The sequence below is a fragment of the Homo sapiens genome, chromosome 8, assembly GCF_000001405.40.
Source record: "Homo sapiens chromosome 8, GRCh38.p14 Primary Assembly".
Classification (NCBI taxonomy): Eukaryota; Metazoa; Chordata; class Mammalia; order Primates; family Hominidae; genus Homo; species Homo sapiens.
In genome coordinates this window covers 106,956,549-106,975,207 of record NC_000008.11, presented here as the reverse complement: position 1 = coordinate 106,975,207, position 18,659 = coordinate 106,956,549, and the positions used below count along the sequence as shown (strand labels likewise).

Genomic DNA, 18,659 nt, shown 5'->3' with positions numbered 1-18,659 from the left:
TTTTGTTTAATCATCTTTCTACATGGCTGGCCATGCTTCATCTACCTAAGCATAAAAATGGATAGTTCACCCTGGGTCTTTGGGGTCGTCAGTCTGAAGCCTCCCATGTCATGTAAAACTATGATCAAATAAATTTGTGATGCCTTTTCTCCTGTGAATCTGTCTATTGCCAGTTTATTTCAACAAACTGAAATCTCAGATCTTCAGAGGAAATGTTTGAACTTCCCTACACATGTAATTACAGGTGTGATGAGGGTCATGTGACAGAATCATAGGGATGTAGGTAGCACGTGGATCTTAATGAGCCTGGAAGGACTGGGGGAGTTCTTTCAGAGGAAATATCTAAACCCCAAATTTTGAAAGACAAGTAGGCATTGATTGGATAAGAAGGGCTGGAATCTCAGGAAATTGTCCCAGACAATAGCCCTTATCTGCTGGTTAAAGAATCTCTGAACGTGGGGACAAGCATATCTGTTATTTCAGGTAAAGGATTGATAGGAGTTTAGGGGCAGTTTAGCACTGGATGATAGAGAAGGAGGCAGTAAACCTCCTTTGTTGAAAACAAAAGGGATAAAGTGCTGCTCATGGCTGGATAAAGAAAGGAGATAAGCACATTTGAGCCTGATGGCCCATTAGTTTTCACTGAAAACCGTTTGTGTAATAATCAGCCTTATATTTTCTGTTATCCATGCTATTAATAATAAATTTAATTCTTTTCAAAATTGCTGTCAATAGGGCATTTGGGCTCCTCTCCTTAGGGTATAGGTTTTGTTTCTTTTCACTCAGAGTAGATTTCCTTGGGGGAAAAATGGAGCAGATTTTATGAAAACTAAAGTAGGTCACAAAACATAAACACAAACAAACAAACACAAAACAAAAAAGGTATGTGTTTTCCCCCAAAGGCTTCTAAAGTAATTTTGAACTCAGAACATTTCTGATTTTTTTCCTGTCCACAGCATCAGGCATTCATGAGAGCAAGAAAAAGGTTGCAAAAGGTGAATGCATTCCTTTAGTGGAAAGCACAATTTGTGGGAAATACTAAAATATTTATTGTTTTTCTAGGAGCTTTACCAAAGGATGGCAAGGCCATAAGGTTACTAATCAAGATTTCACCATTGTGACACTGGATTGTCAAAATACTTTAGTTTTTCATTTCAGAAGTTGCTGTTCTAAATATAGTTTTGTGGCATGACAAATTGTCCAGTGATCTATGGAACTTACCATACTGTGGAAGTTGCTGTATTATAAGAGCACAGCTGAATGCCACTTCAGATGGAGATCTTGAGCCCTGTGTCTCCTACTCCATGAAACCTTCCCATCTTCTTTTGAAGACCTGATACTTTCTGTGCTCAGCCTTTCATTCCAGCAGTTATAATTGATTGTAGTTATTGTTCACATGACTATCTCCCTTGCTAAACTGAATCATCAAAGGCAGGGACTATTATTTGTCTTTCCAACTGCATGAACTTGCATATAAGTAGATGTTCAAAAATCTGTTTGGCAACTATAAATGTAAGTGAAGTTTCAAGATATATTATTGAGGAAATCAAAAATCAGATTTTTGTCTTAACATAGATAAAACCTGAAAGGAGATGTTCATTTAAAGAGACCACCTCTCCCCAACAAGTGAACCAATATTCAAATATCCCCTCAGCCATTTTGACACCTAGTTCTTTTAAATGTTTCCCTTCCTTGAATGTACTCACTTTCACGATCCAGTGAGCCTAGGAAACACAGCCTTGCTGAAACATCTGGGATTCATCATGCTGGTTCTGTTAATCAAAGTTTTCTAGATCAGTTCCAGATGTTGACTAACTAAAGTTACACAAGCATTGTTCACATTTTTAACTACAATCAGATCTAACTTTCCATATCTTGAAGGTGACTTAATTTGTATAGGTAGGAGTTACACTCTGTCCTATTTTTAAAAATTAACTCTTAGTACAGAAATAAAGCTGATAGGTTATCCTAGAAGTAAATAAAGATCATTAAAAAATTCAAGATATATTTTCAGAAATAATACATCTAGTCACATAAACTCATGGATGTCATGAGAAGGAAAGAAAAATTAATCCTGTGCAAGTATCTACTATGTGCTGGACACCGTAATGGGTAATTCCACATGTATGATCTTGTTTAATTGATTTAAATCTCATAGTGACTGTACAAAATAGAAATTATCTCCATTATACAGATGAGAAAACAGGCTCATTATATTGTTGAAAATAATATGCTTAATGTCTAAGCTGAGATTACAGACTATTTTCTGACCCCAAATTCAGTATTTTTTTCCACATTTCCTTTCCCTGTGATCTTAAATAATATGAATTTGGAAAAGAGAAAATATACATACAAGTATGTTGTAAAACATTTTCTCAAGGAAGACTATAAATGTAAAAGCTATATCTACTTTTCACATAATTTAGTATTTTTGTGCATATTTTATTAAAATAATTAGTTTAATGATATATCTGATAACATAATTGGATTTTCATGAAGCCTGAACAAATCTGGCAGGCAAGGAAAATAAAGTGAATCAATGTAATTCCAGAGCTGGAGACTCCATAATAAACACCTTACACCAATCCAGAGATGCTTCAGGGCACTAGAAGAAGGCTGTCAGTTATAATGACGGGCTGACTTCTGCTGTTAGAATTATGAGATAGATGTTTCTAATGGCCCATGGATGGCAATGCAATTTGATCCCGCATAACTACAACAAACTTATTTCTTAAAGCAGTGTTGGGGTTAAAAAAAACCTGTAGAAATCACCAAAGATGAAGACAAAGAAAATATATGGGAAGGAGAAAGTGGAGAAAGAAGAAAAGAAACAGGGAGCTATACCCTGAATTATGCCAGTAAGCAAACACAAAAGCCAAGGTTCCCTGATTCTAAGAACAGTCCCTGGCTCAGGAGATGGCTCGGCCATTCTTTAAGGTCAGGATGCCTAGCATGAAGGCAGGATCCTCCACAAAAGTTAAGATGTACATTTACTTTTACTGGAGCCAAAGGAACACAGATCTATAGTCACTTTATATGGCAGAAAGCTACTCTACACATTAGGGCTTCTGTTCTCAAAGATTATGTGTAGTTAAAAAATAAGCTCACAATTTTTTTTAATTTACCCAACCATAAATAAAATAGGCCACCATGAGTGAGAATCAGCAGAAACCACACAAAAAAACTATCAAATATTGGAGACATTGGAATTAGCTGATGGTAAATAGAAAATGATCACATTATAAAATATCTAGGAAATTTTTTAAATAGTAAAAGTCAGTGAGGAACAAGAAATTATTAAAAATGACTAAGCAAACTGATTATAGAAAGATGAAGTAGAAATTTTAGAAAAAATAGATTTATTGAAATTAAAAGCTCAGTTTTAATTTAATTTAATTCCGTTATTTAAATTAAATAACATATTAACGGTGAAAAGACAATGAACTAGAAGTAAGAGCTGTAGAACTTGCAGCATTGAGAGACAAGGACATGAAAATATAAAAAGAGCTATTGAAAACAGAATAAAAATGAGAAGGTCAAACATATATGTAATTGTACTCTAAAAAATAAGAGAATGGAAAAGAGGCAATATTGGGAAGACAGAGACTTAAGCTGAGAATTCCTTGACTTTTTGGATAGGCACACATCTACAATAGAAAATGCACAATATATACCAAGAGGATCAAGCAAAGAAAAATCCACAAGTAAAACATAGTAAAATTTCAGAGCACCAAAGATAAAGTATCTGAAAGAGAGCCACAGAAAAAACCAGAGTGCCTAAAAGGAGGATGATCTACTCTAACAGCAGATTTCTCAATAGCTTCAATGGAAACCAGAGTTCATAGAGTAATATATTCAAAATACTGAGAGAAATACTATCAACCTAGAATTGTGTTATAAAAATTATTTTTCTAGGACATTGTCAAACACATGTCCAAAATTAAAAACTGAGTTTACCACCAGCAAATCTTTACTAACGTACATTCTAAAAGATATATTTAAAGAAGGAAAGATTGTAACAAGTTCTAAAATGCAAGAACTGTTGATCCAAGAAATTGTGAAATATGTAAATTAATCTGAAAAGAAATAATGTAAAATAATACATAATAAAATGAGTAAATTCTGAGTTCATAGGGACAACAAAAATACTACACTGACACTGTCCAATACAGAATCTACTAGCCACAAGTTGCTATTTAAATTTAAATACAATTAAGTTAAAAATTTAGTTCCTGAGTCACACTGGCCACATTTCTTGTAATCAATAGCCATATACCAATAGAGGCTAATGTTTTGGATAAAACAGATATAGGACACTTCTATTATCACAAGAGTTTATATTATACAATGCTGCACTAAATATACACTTGTAATTTGGAATGTGTTAGTCAGAAGTAGATGGTTCTAGGGTCCCTGTGTTCTTTAGTTAAGATACTGGCTCTCTTTAAGACTTTTAAATCACTAAATATGCCTGGTAAAATGTTTATAATAATCACTAAGGAATAAAAATAGAGAAGTAAGGTGTGGAAAAATCAAATAAGGAAAAAATAAACCCAAAGTAGAAAAAAAAATAAATGAAAGTGAAACAAATAGAAAGCACAAAGGTGGTGAAAACAATTTCGAATATATTTGCACACAATAAAATGTAAATAGACTGAAATTGCTAGTGATGAATAAAAATATCTGTCATGATTTTAATAATTTGTTTTTTGGTTCACTATAAGAGGTTTAATTAATCTAAGTATGTAATACTATGAACAATTTTATAATACAAATTTGAAAACTGGGACAAAATGGGAAAGTTTTTGTAGCAATGAAACCAAATGAATGTGACTAAAACCCAAATTTTAACAAATAAAATTTGCCAAACTATATGCTATCTAGTGCTGAGTGGCAAACCACTCCAAAACTTACTGAATTAACATTTATGTTGTTCATGGTCCTTTAGTGTGAGCAGGGATTAATGGAACTCATTCTTCTCTGTTCCACTCACATCAACTGGAGCAGCTCAAAGGCTGGAGGCTGGAATCCAATCAAAGTTCAATCGTTCACACATCTGGGGTTGGTGCAGGCAACTGTCTGAAACCTTGACTGGGTCTGTCAGCCAGAACACCTACATGCAACCACCCCATGTGACTTGGACCTCTCAACATGGTGGCTTTTTCCCAAGTGAGCATCCCAAGAGCATTCCTAGGGCAGGGCACTTGACGTTTCATCACTTAGCCCTAGAAGTCATGACACATCACATCTGCCTCACTCTGCTTGTTGACTCAGTCACAAAGTTCCCTCACCTTTTAAGGGAAAGGAAAATAGACCTCACCTCCTAAAAGGAGTGGAAAGGTTCTGGTAGATGTTGTGGGACTGAAAAATTGCTGTGGCCATTTTCGGAAAGCACAATCTGCCACGTTTCAATAATTTACAAAATTCATCAGAAATTAGGAAAAAAAAACCGTTTCTTTGAGTCTAGTTTTACCTCAAATACAAAAATCATGCAAATCTAGTAAAAGAAAAGCCAATCGCATTCACATGTATGAGAAAATATTAGTAATTCAGCAGCCATCCCACTACTGAATATGCATATAACAAAAAAATGAAATAAAATATTTGTCAAAGAGATATCCACACTGCCATGTTTATTGTGGCATAATTTGCAATAGCCAGGATATGGAATTGACTTCAGTGTCTTTCAGTGGATGAATGAATAAAGAAAATGTGGTTTATATACACAATGGAATATGCAATGGGATATTCAGCCTTAAAAACAAAATCCTACCATTTTTGACAACATGGACATTATGTTCAGTGAAATAAGCCAGACACAGACCGACAAATACCCCCATGATCTCACTTATCTGTAGACTCTAAAAATGTTGAATTCATAGAAGTAGAGTGTAAGAATGGTAGTTAGCAGAGACTGGGGGTGGGAAGGAGGTTGGGAAAATATTGATCAAAATACAAAATATCAGCGTGGATGACCAAGGTTCAGAGATCTATTGTACAATATGGTGACTATAATTAACAACAATGTATTATAATCTTGAAAATTGCTAAGAGAATAGGTTTTCAGTGTTCTCACCATGAAAAATAAGTATGTGAGGTAATGTATTTGTAAATTAGCTCAATTTTGCTATTCCACAGTGTCTAAATTTTGAAGCCATCATGTACATGAGAAATGTATAAAATTTTGTCAACCTTTTAAAAGATAAGAAATTATTAGGTATCCAAATGTAGTCAAGTGTTAGAGAATATATCATGAAGAGGTTGTGTTTACTCCAATAATCAAAGGTGGCTTAACATTAAAATGTTGTAAGTGTAAACCACTATATTTCCAGGTTAAATGAGAAAAAATATAGTCGTCTCAACAGATGCAGAAAAAACATTTTCTATAATCCAACACCCTTTTCCAACAAAACTAAACTAAATGCTTAATAAAACAGGAATAGAAGACAGTTTTCCTTATCTGCTAAGAAGCATTTACAAGGAGAAAAAGAACCCATAGCAAATACTAATGATGTAATGGGGGCATTCAATTTATTATCATGAAAAAGAAAAAGATGGATACCCCAAATCACTACCTCTATTCAACATTATGCTGAAGATCCCATCCAGTTTGTAAGAGAAGAAAATACTATAAATATGGAAAGAAACCAGGCTGTCACTATTAAAAGGTGATTTGATTGCTTATATAGAAACCCCATCTACCAACAAAATATGAGAATTAATGAGTATTTAGCAAGGTGTCTGACTATAACAATATGCAAATTTTATTGTGTTACTATACAACAACTATAAAACTAGAAAACATTTTAGAATTCTTTGTAATAGCAAAAATATGTAAGTAAAATGAAATAGATATTTTAAGAGGATCTGTAAGAAACTAAGGAAGAAAGACAAAATTTTTTGAAAGCTGTTTTTAAAAGACATAAATATGAAAAGGGAAATATGCCATGTTCATGGGATGGGATAACTCAATATCATAAAAATGTCACCTTAAATTGAACTACAGATTTAATTTGTTTCCAATATCATAAACTCAATATCATAAAAATGTCTCCTTAAATTTCTCCTCAAAATGAACTATAGATTTAATTTTTTTCTAATAAGGTTTTTGAGAAACTTGAGAAGCTAATTCTAAAATTTATTTGAAAAGGCAAAGGCTCAGTAATGGGTAAAGTATTGAAGAAGGATAGGAAAACAAAATTGTGCTACCAGATACCAAGTTTTATTATAAAGCTATGTCAATGAATACAGTGTCAATTAATAAGCAAAAACCTATCAGACACTAGGACAGAATTCCCAGTAAAATAGAGAACCCAGAAACAGATCTATACATAACAGAACCTGATATATGGCAAAGATGATATTACGATATCTGGAGAAAGGAAGTAAGCTAATAATATTAAAAAATGCAGGTATTATTTGTTTATATAATAAACAATATTATATATAGGCATATACAGGCATCAATTCCAGGTAGATCAAAAATTTAAGGCAAAAGGGAATATTTTAAAACTTTGAGAGCAAAATATAGAAAATAATCTTTGTGAACTCAGAATAGAGAAAATATTAACTATAAATTTTTAAACAATGCTAAGCTCACCTAGATTAATAGGAAGAACTTCTGCTTATCTAAAGACACCATAATATAAAGTTACAAACTATTTGTAACTTTTATAGTCAACAAATAATTAGTATTCATTAAGTATAATGAACTCTTCCACATTGAGAATAAAATAACAACTTCCTCTCTCCCCTCAAAAAACTAGTAAGTGGCCAAACCGGCATTTCAGATCAGAGAAAGTACTAATGACCCAGCCTCTTCAGTAATCAAAGAAGTACAAAGTAGGATCACAATAAGATATCTTTTTTTTGCATTATACTAAAATTAAAAATTGATATATATTGTTGGTAAGAAGTAGATTGATGAAAAAGATATACAGCTCTATAGTATAAGCATAATTGGAAACATCTTATTTGAAAAACGTTCATCTTATACATCTAAACACTAACTTATCTATAACCCAGCAATTTTACTCCTAGAAACAAAACCTAGAGAAATTTGCATGTGAGACCCAAAAGATATATACCAGAATTTTATAATTGTCAATAATAACTGTTGTCAATAATAGCAATAGAAATAGAAAAAAATCAGGTAACAAAAGTCAATTTACAGAAAAAACGTATTGATTATAGCATAGTCACATAATATTACAGAATTGTGAAAATGAATATATTATAGCTACTGGTGACACAATAAACAATGTTGAGTGAAAAAAGTTGAATAAAATTGCATAATATATGAAATGACCTATAGTATGTACCTAATTATTACATGTTATCAATTTTGAACTGTTACTTGTTTTAGAAACTGCCTTTATGTAGGGATTGCTACGTATTTGGTAAATTTATTGTAGAAAGAAAGAATAATAAATACATCAGTTACTTCTGGAAAGGTGGTAAAGGAATGGAATTTTGAAAGAATATGCACATAACTCAATGATGTTGATAACGTTCCTGTTTTTAACCTCAACAGTGGGTTCACCAGTGTTGTTATTATGCTTTCTAAAATCTCATAAATTATGTATATGTATTGGTTATTACATAATAATGCTTAATCAGAGCTTTTGTTTATTGCTTGATATACTTCATAAATTGTTTTGCTAAAAATAGTAAAGAAGGATTCATTCAATAAATTATATTATAGATGAGTAAACATAATAGAAGAATGAATTTGAAGCCATATAGATCTGGACTGGAGTTTTTGTTTTGAAGCTTACTAGCTTGAGCTATATACTTATGAACCAGATACTTAAGACCTCTGAATATCACTTTCCTTCAACAGTATTTATTGTAAGTCTGCTATGTACTAAGTACCATTCAGAACACTGGAGATACAGTGGTGAACAAAATAGACACCATCTCCAGGCACTGCATAAGTGTATGTAGAAGAGGTTCTATGGGAGCCTGTAAAGGGCTAACCATGAAAGAGCAGCAGTAGTACTTGGTGTGAGGTGTACGTCAGTACCTTCTTACAAAAATTTCTGTGGAAAGCATGTCATGAGCCTTTTCTAACTTGCCATATGCTATTCTTGCAACTTGTGCAACATTTTGCACAATATTGGGGAAATTTCCTGCAACTGTGAGCAAAGCAACACAATAAGACTTGACTATGTATTCACAATATATATCCTGGGAATATATGAAACACAGCTGAGGACATCATGCATCAAACTAATATGAACATAAAATACTATCAAGTAGTTTGCATAAAAGCTGACAATCTGCCCTTTTGCCAATCAAATTATGGTGTGAGGATGGTACAGTGTACAAGGATGTCTCTGTAGAAAACTCTTTATTATAACTTCATCAGATGCTAATAATCCCAGACTGCTTTAGTTGTATGTTTTTCCTATTTACACTATCACTACCTTGAATCTTCCCTAGTGTTACCAGAAAGAGAAGAATTCACTTCCTCCCAAATTACTTTTGCAGGCGTCAGGAGTCTAGTTCTCCCCACTCCTATCTCACTTTCTGTCTGCTCTCACTGAGCTCCTAGACACTCAATCTGTTCTAGGGTTACTGTAAGTGACTCTATGTGGGTTTATCAATAACTGTCTATCCTCAAGGAACATTTGCTCCAAAGAGGCACATGGCCAATTTGAAAGCAGAAAATGTTTCTATCATCTGCAAAGAACCCAAGGAAAAAATACAGTGATAATCTGATACCAATATCATTACTATGAAAATGAAATTTGAAGAAAAGAGAGAAGAATCAAGTAGATGCAATAAAAAATGATAAAGCGGAGATCACCACCAATCCTACAGAAATACAAACTACCATCAGAGAATACTATAAACACCTCTATGGAAATAAACTAGAAAATCTAGAAGAAATGGATAAATTCCTTGACACATACCCCCTCCCAAGACTAAATCAGGAAGAAGTTGAATCTCTGAATAGAGCAACAACAGGCTCTGAAATTGAGGCAATAATTAATAGCTAACCAACTAAAAAAAGTCCAGGACCAGATGGATTCACAGCTGAATTCTACCAGAGGTACAAGGAGGAGCTGGTACCATTCCTTCTGAAACTATTCCAATCAGTAGAAAAAGAGGGAATCCTCCCTAACTCATTTTATGAGGCCAGCATCATCCTGATACCAAAGCCTGGCAGAGACACAACAAAACAAGAGAATTTTAGACCAATATCCCTGATGAACATCGATGCAAAAATACTCAATAAAATACTGGCAAAACCGAATCTAGCAGCACATCAAAAAGCTTATCCACCATGATCAAGTGGGCTTCATCCTGGGATGCAAGCCTTGTTCAACATACGCAACTCAATAAATGTAATCCAGCATATAAACAGAACCAATGACAAAAACCACATGATTATGTCAATAGATGCAGAAAAGGCCTTTGACAAAATTCAACAGCGCTTCATGCTAAAACCTCTCAATAAATTAGGTATTGATGGGACGTATCTCAAAATAATAAGAGCTATTTATGACAAACCCACAGCCAATATCATACTGAATGGGCAAAAACTGGAAGCATGCCCTTTGAAAACTGGCACAAGACAGGGATGCCCTCTCTCACCACTCCAATTCAACATAGTGTTGGAAGTTCTGGCCAGGGCAATCAGGCAGGAGAAAGAAATAAAGGTTATTCAGTTAGGAAAAGAGGAAGTCAAAGTGTCCCTGTTTGCAGATGACATGATTGTATATCTAGAAAACCCCTTGTCTCAGCCCAAAATCTCCTTAAGCTGATAAGCAACTTCAGCAAAGTCTCAGGATACAAAATCAGTGTGCAAAAATCACAAGCATTCTTATACACCAATAGCAGACAAACAAAGAGCCAAATCATGAGTGACCTCCCATTCACAATTGCTTCAAAGAGAATAAAATACCTAGGAATCCAGCTTACAAGGGATGTGAAGGACCTCTTCAAGGAGAACTACAAACCACTGCTCAATGAAATAAAAGAGGACACAAACAAATGGAAGAACATTCCATGCTCATGGATAGGAAGAATCAATATCATGAAAATGACCATACTGCCCAAGGTAATTTATAGATTCAATGCCATCCCCATCAAGCTACCAATGACTTGCTTCACAAAATTGGAAAAAACTACTTTAAAGTTCATATGGAAACAAAAAAGAGCCTGCATTGCCAAGTCAATCCTAAGCCAAAAGAAGAAAGCTGGAGGCATCACACTACCTGACTTCAAACTATACTACAAGGCTACCGTAACCAAAACAGCATGGTACTGGTACCAAAACAGAGATATAGACCAATGGAACAGAACAGAGCCCTCAGAAATAATACCACACATACACAACTATCTGATCTTTCACAAACCTGAGAAAAACAAGAAATGGGGAAAGGATTCCCTATTTAATAAATGGTGCTGGGAAAACTGGCTAGCCATATGTAGAAAGCTGAAACTGGATCCTTTCCTTACACCTTATACAAAAATTAATTCAAGATGGATTAAAGACTTAAATGTTAGACCTAAAACCATAAAAACCCTAGAAGAAAACCTAGGCAATACCATTCAGGACATAGGCATGGGCAAGGACTTCATGTCTAAAACACCAAAAGCAATGGCAACACAAGCCAAAATTGACAAATGGGATCTAATTAAACTAAAGAGCTTCTGCACAGCAAAAGAAACCACCATCAGAGTGAACAGGCAACCTACAGAATGGGAGAACATTTTTGCAACCTACTCATCTGACAAAGGGCTAATATCCAGAATCTACAATGAACTCAAACAAATTTACAAGAAAAAACAACCCCATCAACCAGTGGGCAAAGGATATGAACAGACACTTCTGAAAAGAAGACATTTTTGCAGCCAACAGACACGTGAAAAAATGCTCATCATCACTGGCCATCAGAGAAATGCAAATCAAAACCACAATGAGATACCATCTCACACCAGTTAGAATGGCAATCATTAAAAAGTCAGGAAACAACAGGTGCTGGAGAGGATGTGGAGAAGTAGGAACACTTTTACACTGTTGGTGGGACTGTAAACTAGTTCAACCATTGTGGAAGACAGTGTGGCGATTCCTCAGGGATCTAGAACTAGAAATACCATTTGACCCAGCCATCCAATTACTGGGTATATACCCAAAGGATTATAAATCATGCTGCTATAAAGACACATGCACACGTATGTTTACTGCAGCACTATTCACAATAGCAAAGACTTGGAACCAACCCAAATGTCCAACAATGATAGACTGGATTAAGAAAATGTGGCACATATACACCATGGAATACTATGCAGCCATAAAAAAGGATGAGTTCATTTCCTTTGTAGGGACATGGATGAAGCTGGAAACCATCATTCTCAGCAAACTATCACAAGGACAAAAACCCAAACACCGCATGTTCTCACTCACAGGTGGGAACTGAACAACGAGAACACTTGGACACAGGAAGGGGAGCATCACACACCAGGGCCTGTTGTGGGGTGGGGGGAGTGGGGAGGGATAGCATTAGGAGATATACCTAATGTTAATGACAAGTTAATAAGTGCAGCACACCAACATGGCACATGTATACATATGTAACAAACCTGCACATTGTGCACATGTACCATACAACTTAAAGTATAATACAAATATATATATATAAAAGAAAAGAAACCTCCAGATTAACTAAAAAAAAAAATAAAATAAAAAAGAAATGCAATAAAAGCCCTCACATTTAGCAAGAAGACAGCTTCTGTGTCACACAAAGAGCCTGTGCGAAACCAGTGGTAAATTATTGAAGAAGGGCAGTTAACTGAAACAAATTTGAGTATAAAAGCAGCATGGAGACAACTGATCATTAAATTCTCAGCATCTGCAAAGAAATAGGATGGAGAAGAAAAATAAAAAATTAAGTCAAGGACCTTTTTCACAAGTAATATTTGAGAAATTTCCCACAACTCTGAGCAAAGCAACAAAATTAGACTTGAATATGTATTCCGATAGTTATTGATGGAAAAGAAAAAAAGGGATGAGATTATAATCATTTAATTTCCTAGGAAAAGTGGTTAGGAGAACACATAATAGAACTCTGTCAACCCAAAATTCAGATGGTAACATAGGCTTTCTTGAAAGGGTACTTCCCATTCTCAAGCAGCTGAAAGGGTAAATGAACCAGGTAATCAGACCACAGAAGAAACTTTAAATATCAGAGGCTGGTTTTTAATTGTTTGCTTATTTGTATTGTTGAAGCTCAGATTTATACCCCAAAATATGGCCAACTGACATGCTGAACCAAAGAAGCAGCCTCATGGTCTCTGACCTTCCCCATCCCTCAATGTCTTTGCCAAAAAAGTTGACGTTCTTTTATCTGTCTGAAGTCCAGATCCACCAAAGTAAACAACTATTTTTTCCTCCCTTCTCTGTAAGACCAAGAATATAAGACCACACCTGAACAGACCTTTTCATTGTCAAAGAAAATTATTTACAATCTTTTCCCAGATCCATTCATTCTCCCTAGAATTGCCAATAGAATTCCTTTTCTCCCCCTTCCCATATCCTGTTTTGCCAGGATAATATATAGGCTTCTGAATCATGTTGTGGGGTTGTGTCTTCATTCTGAAGGCTCCCCTGTATACACATTAAATAAATTTATATGTATTTTCTCCTATTAATCAACCTGCCTAATGTCAGTGATTTTTAAGCAGACCTCTATGAAGCCAAGGGCTTTGGCCCCCAAAGGGTTTTGGAGTTGTTTTGTGTGTTTGTGTGTGGCAATATCTACAACATAAGACTTGCCTCATTTACAAACAAAGCATAACACCTAAGCAAAAAAAAAAGTACCACTCTGACTCTATCCCATTATACCACTTTTTAAAAAAATTTTTAAGTTCCGTGATACATGTGCAGAACAGGCAGGTTACATAGGTGTATGTGTGCCACGGTGGTTTGCTGCACCTATTGACCCATCTTCTAAATTCCATCTCCTTGCCCCCCACCCCCAACAGGCCCTGGTGTGTGTTGTTCCCCTCCATGTGTCCATCTGTTCTCATTGTTCAACTCCCACTTATGAGTAAGAACATGAAGTGTTTGGTTTTCTGTTCCTGTGTTAGTTTGCTAAGGATGATGGCTTCCAGCTTCATCCATGTCCCTGCAGAGGACATGATCTCATTCCTTTTTATGGCTGCATAGTATTCCATGGTGTATATGTACCACATTTTCTTTATCCAGTCTACCATTGATGGGCCCATTATGCCACTTTTCTAAGCAGTTAATGATTTCCAACCCATAGGATTAGGAGAACCTAGAACTACTAGGCTACTAGCTCTATCCTCTTTTAGCTATCTTTCCATAGAAGATCAATGAACATTCCAATTCTATTATGGGAGCCTTGAATTTCTTAATCTTATTCGAATAAATGGGATTCTAAGCACAAACAAGGGTCAAAAATTTAAAAAGCATAAGATTCAGTCAGCACACATAGCTCTATCAAGTAACTGAGATGGATTTTAGCCTGCATAATATTTATATGGTTTACTTATTCTAACACCAAGTAATAAGAATCTTCATGCAAACTATGCTTTTCTCTCACCTGTGTTCTGTATTCTTTGTGTTACTCTGCATAATTAAGCAAACCCTTGAAAATATCTAATTGATCTAATACTTCAACCCTTTTGCTGTTTTTACTAGTCCCAGTGGTATCTTGCAGACACAGTTCTAGTCCCTCTAGTCAAAGTATAATTTTTTTCTTAGGATGAACCAAAGAGGCTATTTACATCTGGGTAGTGTGTAGCTGCAGACTTTTGTGAAACAATATTGGAAAACGAAAGGGTCACAAATCCTTTTCTCAATTGAAAATACAAATCAGTTCCTACTTTCTATCCAGGCAGACAGCCAAACATAAAATAAGGGAAGGCATATATCCATATTTGAGAGAAAGGTGCCTACATAAGTAAGGATTTCCCCCAAAGAACAAAGGTAACTTTTTTGATGGCTTTTGGTGGAAGATGGAAATGTAATGGACAGATGACAAAACTTTAAAATACTTTCCAAATAGCTTGAGGTAGTTTTTGAAGAAGAAACAGCAAGATAAAAGAGCCATAACCTTCATCAAAACTGATTAATGCAAAGAGGGCAGCTATGATATTTAAAGGTTCACCAGTTTCCTTACACTCAAGCACATCTGAAACTTGTTCTAATTTACCATTTCACTAATTTTCATATTAAATGTGAAATTTAATATTTTCACATTTTCTTTTACATATATAATTTTAAAAATTATTCCATATATCTTTATGTAATGGACTCTTAGTATCATGATTAAAGATATTTTCTGCCCTGTGGCCTTAAATATCTTCTACAAATTCTTGTAAAAATTTAAAGTTTTCACAATCTGTTCTTTAATCTAGCTGGACTTGGATTCTGTATATGGAATGAGAAAGGAATTTAATTTATTGCTTTATCTATTTGGATAATCAATTGTCCAAGGACCATATATAATTATCAGCTCTTTGTTCATTAATTTGTATTTCCACATGAGTCATAATCTATGTTCCCATATATGTGGGATCAGGTTTCTGGGCGCTGTATTCCATTCTTTTTGTCCATTTGTCTAATACTCTTGCAATTCTACAATGTGTTAAGTATTATAGATATGTAGTAAGCCATTCCACATTTTTAATGACACAAAAATCTATCATTTTCTCAATTTCTAATATCATTTTCTAAATATCATCGAAGCAATTGCTAAATAGCTGATGACAGCCCAATCACCACATCAAGGACAAATATGTAAAATTTAAAGAGGTGAGAAGAGAACATTTCCATGGCAAAACTTTCTAGAATACTGTAGCATTTTTCCCCTCCCACATAGGGGAAAGAAAGAGATGCTCACCTTATAACTTATAAGGAGCTTTAAGAAACCACTGGTAGTTCGACGCCAGTGTTCTGGAGCTCAAATAGCAAAGTGGAAAGAAATGGAGATTTACCACTAAAGGCAGCAGAAGCTGATGTGGAGGGATCAAGCAACAAGCAGCCAGCCAAGGAGGTGCTGCCTACATCAGGGAGCTAGAGCCAAATGGAGACTCTCTGAGGAACCTCTGGAACTACCCTCAAGAGAAACATTCAGATGACTTAAAAAGAGTTAACACGAATCCATGTCAAACTCTTCCAAAAGCTAAAAGCCAAAGGACTACTTTCCAACTTATGTTATGAGGTCATTATTATTCTGATCCCAAAACAGATAAGAAAATTATACAGATTAATATCCTTTATGAATAGAAACCTAAAAATCTTCAACAATTACTAGCAAACCAAGTCCAACAACATATAAAATGTACTGTACACCATGGCCAAGTGGGATTTATTCTAGGAATGTAAGGTTGGTTCAATATGTGAAAATCTAGCCACATAATATACCATAATAGTAGGAAAAAAGACAAAAACACATGATCATCTCAGTAGATGCAGAAAGGCATGTGACAAATCCAGCATTCTTTACCGTCAACAAACTAGGAATAGAAGGGAACTTCAACCAGGGCATCTATGAAAACCTCACAGTTAACATTATACTTAACGGTGAACAACTGAGAACTTTTCTCCTAAGACTAGGAGCAAGAAACGTTTTGCTCTCATGATGTGCATTCAACTTTGTACCAGAGGCTGCAGCCAGAGCCATTAGGCAGGAAGAAAATACAAAAGGCATCTAGATTATCAAGAACTCTTACAAGTGAACAATAAAAGGACAAATAACCCAATTAAAACATGGGCCGGCGGGGCGCGGTGGCTCACGCCTGTAATCCCAGCACTTTGGGAGGCCAAGGCAGGCAGATCATGAGGTCAGGAGATCGCGACCATCCTGGCTAACATGGTGAAACCCCATCTCTACTAAAAAAATACAAAAAAATTAGCTGGGCGTGGTGGCGGGCGTCTGTAGTCCCAGCTACTCGGGAGGCTGAGGCAGGAGAATGGCGTGAACCCAGGAGGCGGAGCTTGCAGGGAGCGGAGATCGAGCCACTGCACTCCAGCCTGGGCGACAGAGTGAGACTCCATCTCAAAAAAAAAAAAAAAAAAAAAAAGGGGGGGGCCAATAAATTAAATAGACATTTCTTCAAATAGGAAGGAAAAAGTTGAAAAAGTTCTCAATAATATTAGAAATTAGTGAAATAAAAATTAAAATCACAGTGAAATACCATTTTTCACCTACCAGGATGGCTATTAGAAAATAGGTTTTGGCAAAGATGTGGTAGGTCCTAATGTGAATGAAAAAGGTGCAGCTGCTTTCAAAAAGTTTGGCTGCTTTCAAAAAGTTTGGCAATTTGTTAAAAACGTCAACCTAGAGTTACTTTATGACTCTGCAATTCTGCTCTTAAGTATTTACCTAGGAGAAATGAAAGCACATATACATGTAAAAACTTGTGTCCAAATGCTCATAGTAGCATTATTCATAATAGCCAAAGAGTAGAAACAACTGAAATCTTCATCGTTATTCAGCCATACAAAAGATTGGAGTGCTGATACATGCTACATCACAGATGAACGTTGAAGACTTTATGCTAAGTTAAATAAGCCAGATATGAAAGGCCACATGTTGTCCAATTCCATTTATACTAAATTCCCAGAATAGGCAAATCCACAGAGACAGAAAGCAGCTTGGTGGTTGCCAGGGGCTGGTCAGAAGGGACAATGAGGAATAACTGATTAATGCATAGAGGTTTCCTTTGGGGATGATTAAAATATTTTGGAACAAAACAGAGGTGATAGTGTCACAGATTTGTCTATATTCCAAAAACCACTTAATTATACACTTTAAAAGTAGATAATTTTAGGTACTTGAATTATATCTCATTAAAAAATGATCAATGTAATAGCCCACATGAAGCAGGGAAAAGTAATGTGATTGCTTCAGTGGAGGAAAAAAATTTTGAAAAAATTCCAGGTTCATTTATAAGAAAAAACTGGCTGGGTGCAGTGGCTCATGCTTGTAATCCCAGCACTTTGGGAGGTTGGCATGGGAGGATAACTTGAGGCCAGGAGTTCAAGACCAGCCTGGACAAAGTAGTGAGACTGTCTTTGCAAAAAAGTAAAATAAAATAATTTTAACTAAACAAAGAAAAAACTGATCACAAACTAGAAATTGAAAGAAACTTCTTTAGCTTGTTAAACTTCACATTCACACACAAAAAGTAAACCAAAAATGCAACTATCTATGATTAATTATATACTTAAAGTAGAATAACTTTTTCCATTAAGAATACCTACCACTGGCCGGGTGCAGTGGCTCACACCTGTACTCCCAGCACTTTGGGAGGCTGAGGCGGGCAGATCACGAGGTCAGGAGATCGAGACCATCCTGGCTAACACGGTGAAACCCCATCTCTACTAAAAAAATTCAAAAAATTAGCCGGGCGTGGTGGCAGGCACCTGTAGTCCCAGCTACTCAGGAGGCTGAGGCAGGAGAGTGGCGTGAACCCGGGAGGTGGAGTTTGCAGTGAGCTGAGATGGCGCCACTGCACTCTAGCCTGGGCAACAGAGCGAGACTTGGTCTCAAAAAAAAAAAAAAAAAGAATACCCACCACCAACAATGTTATTTAACATAGTACCAGAGGTCCTGCCCAATATGATGAATAATGATATAATGATAATGATGATGATGATGTAAACCTTATAAGGG

The 18,659-nt window shown here is 35.4% G+C and overlaps 1 annotated feature.

Moving 5' to 3' along the window:
• Positions 294-841: an enhancer, noted in NCBI's record as "OCT4-NANOG hESC enhancer chr8:107986595-107987142 (GRCh37/hg19 assembly coordinates)". NCBI's record gives its function as "activates a minimal SCP1, AML or CMV promoter by ChIP-STARR-seq in primed H9 embryonic stem cells {active_cell/tissue: H9 hESC(primed)}" and the evidence as "EXISTENCE:reporter gene assay evidence [ECO:0000049][PMID:30033119]".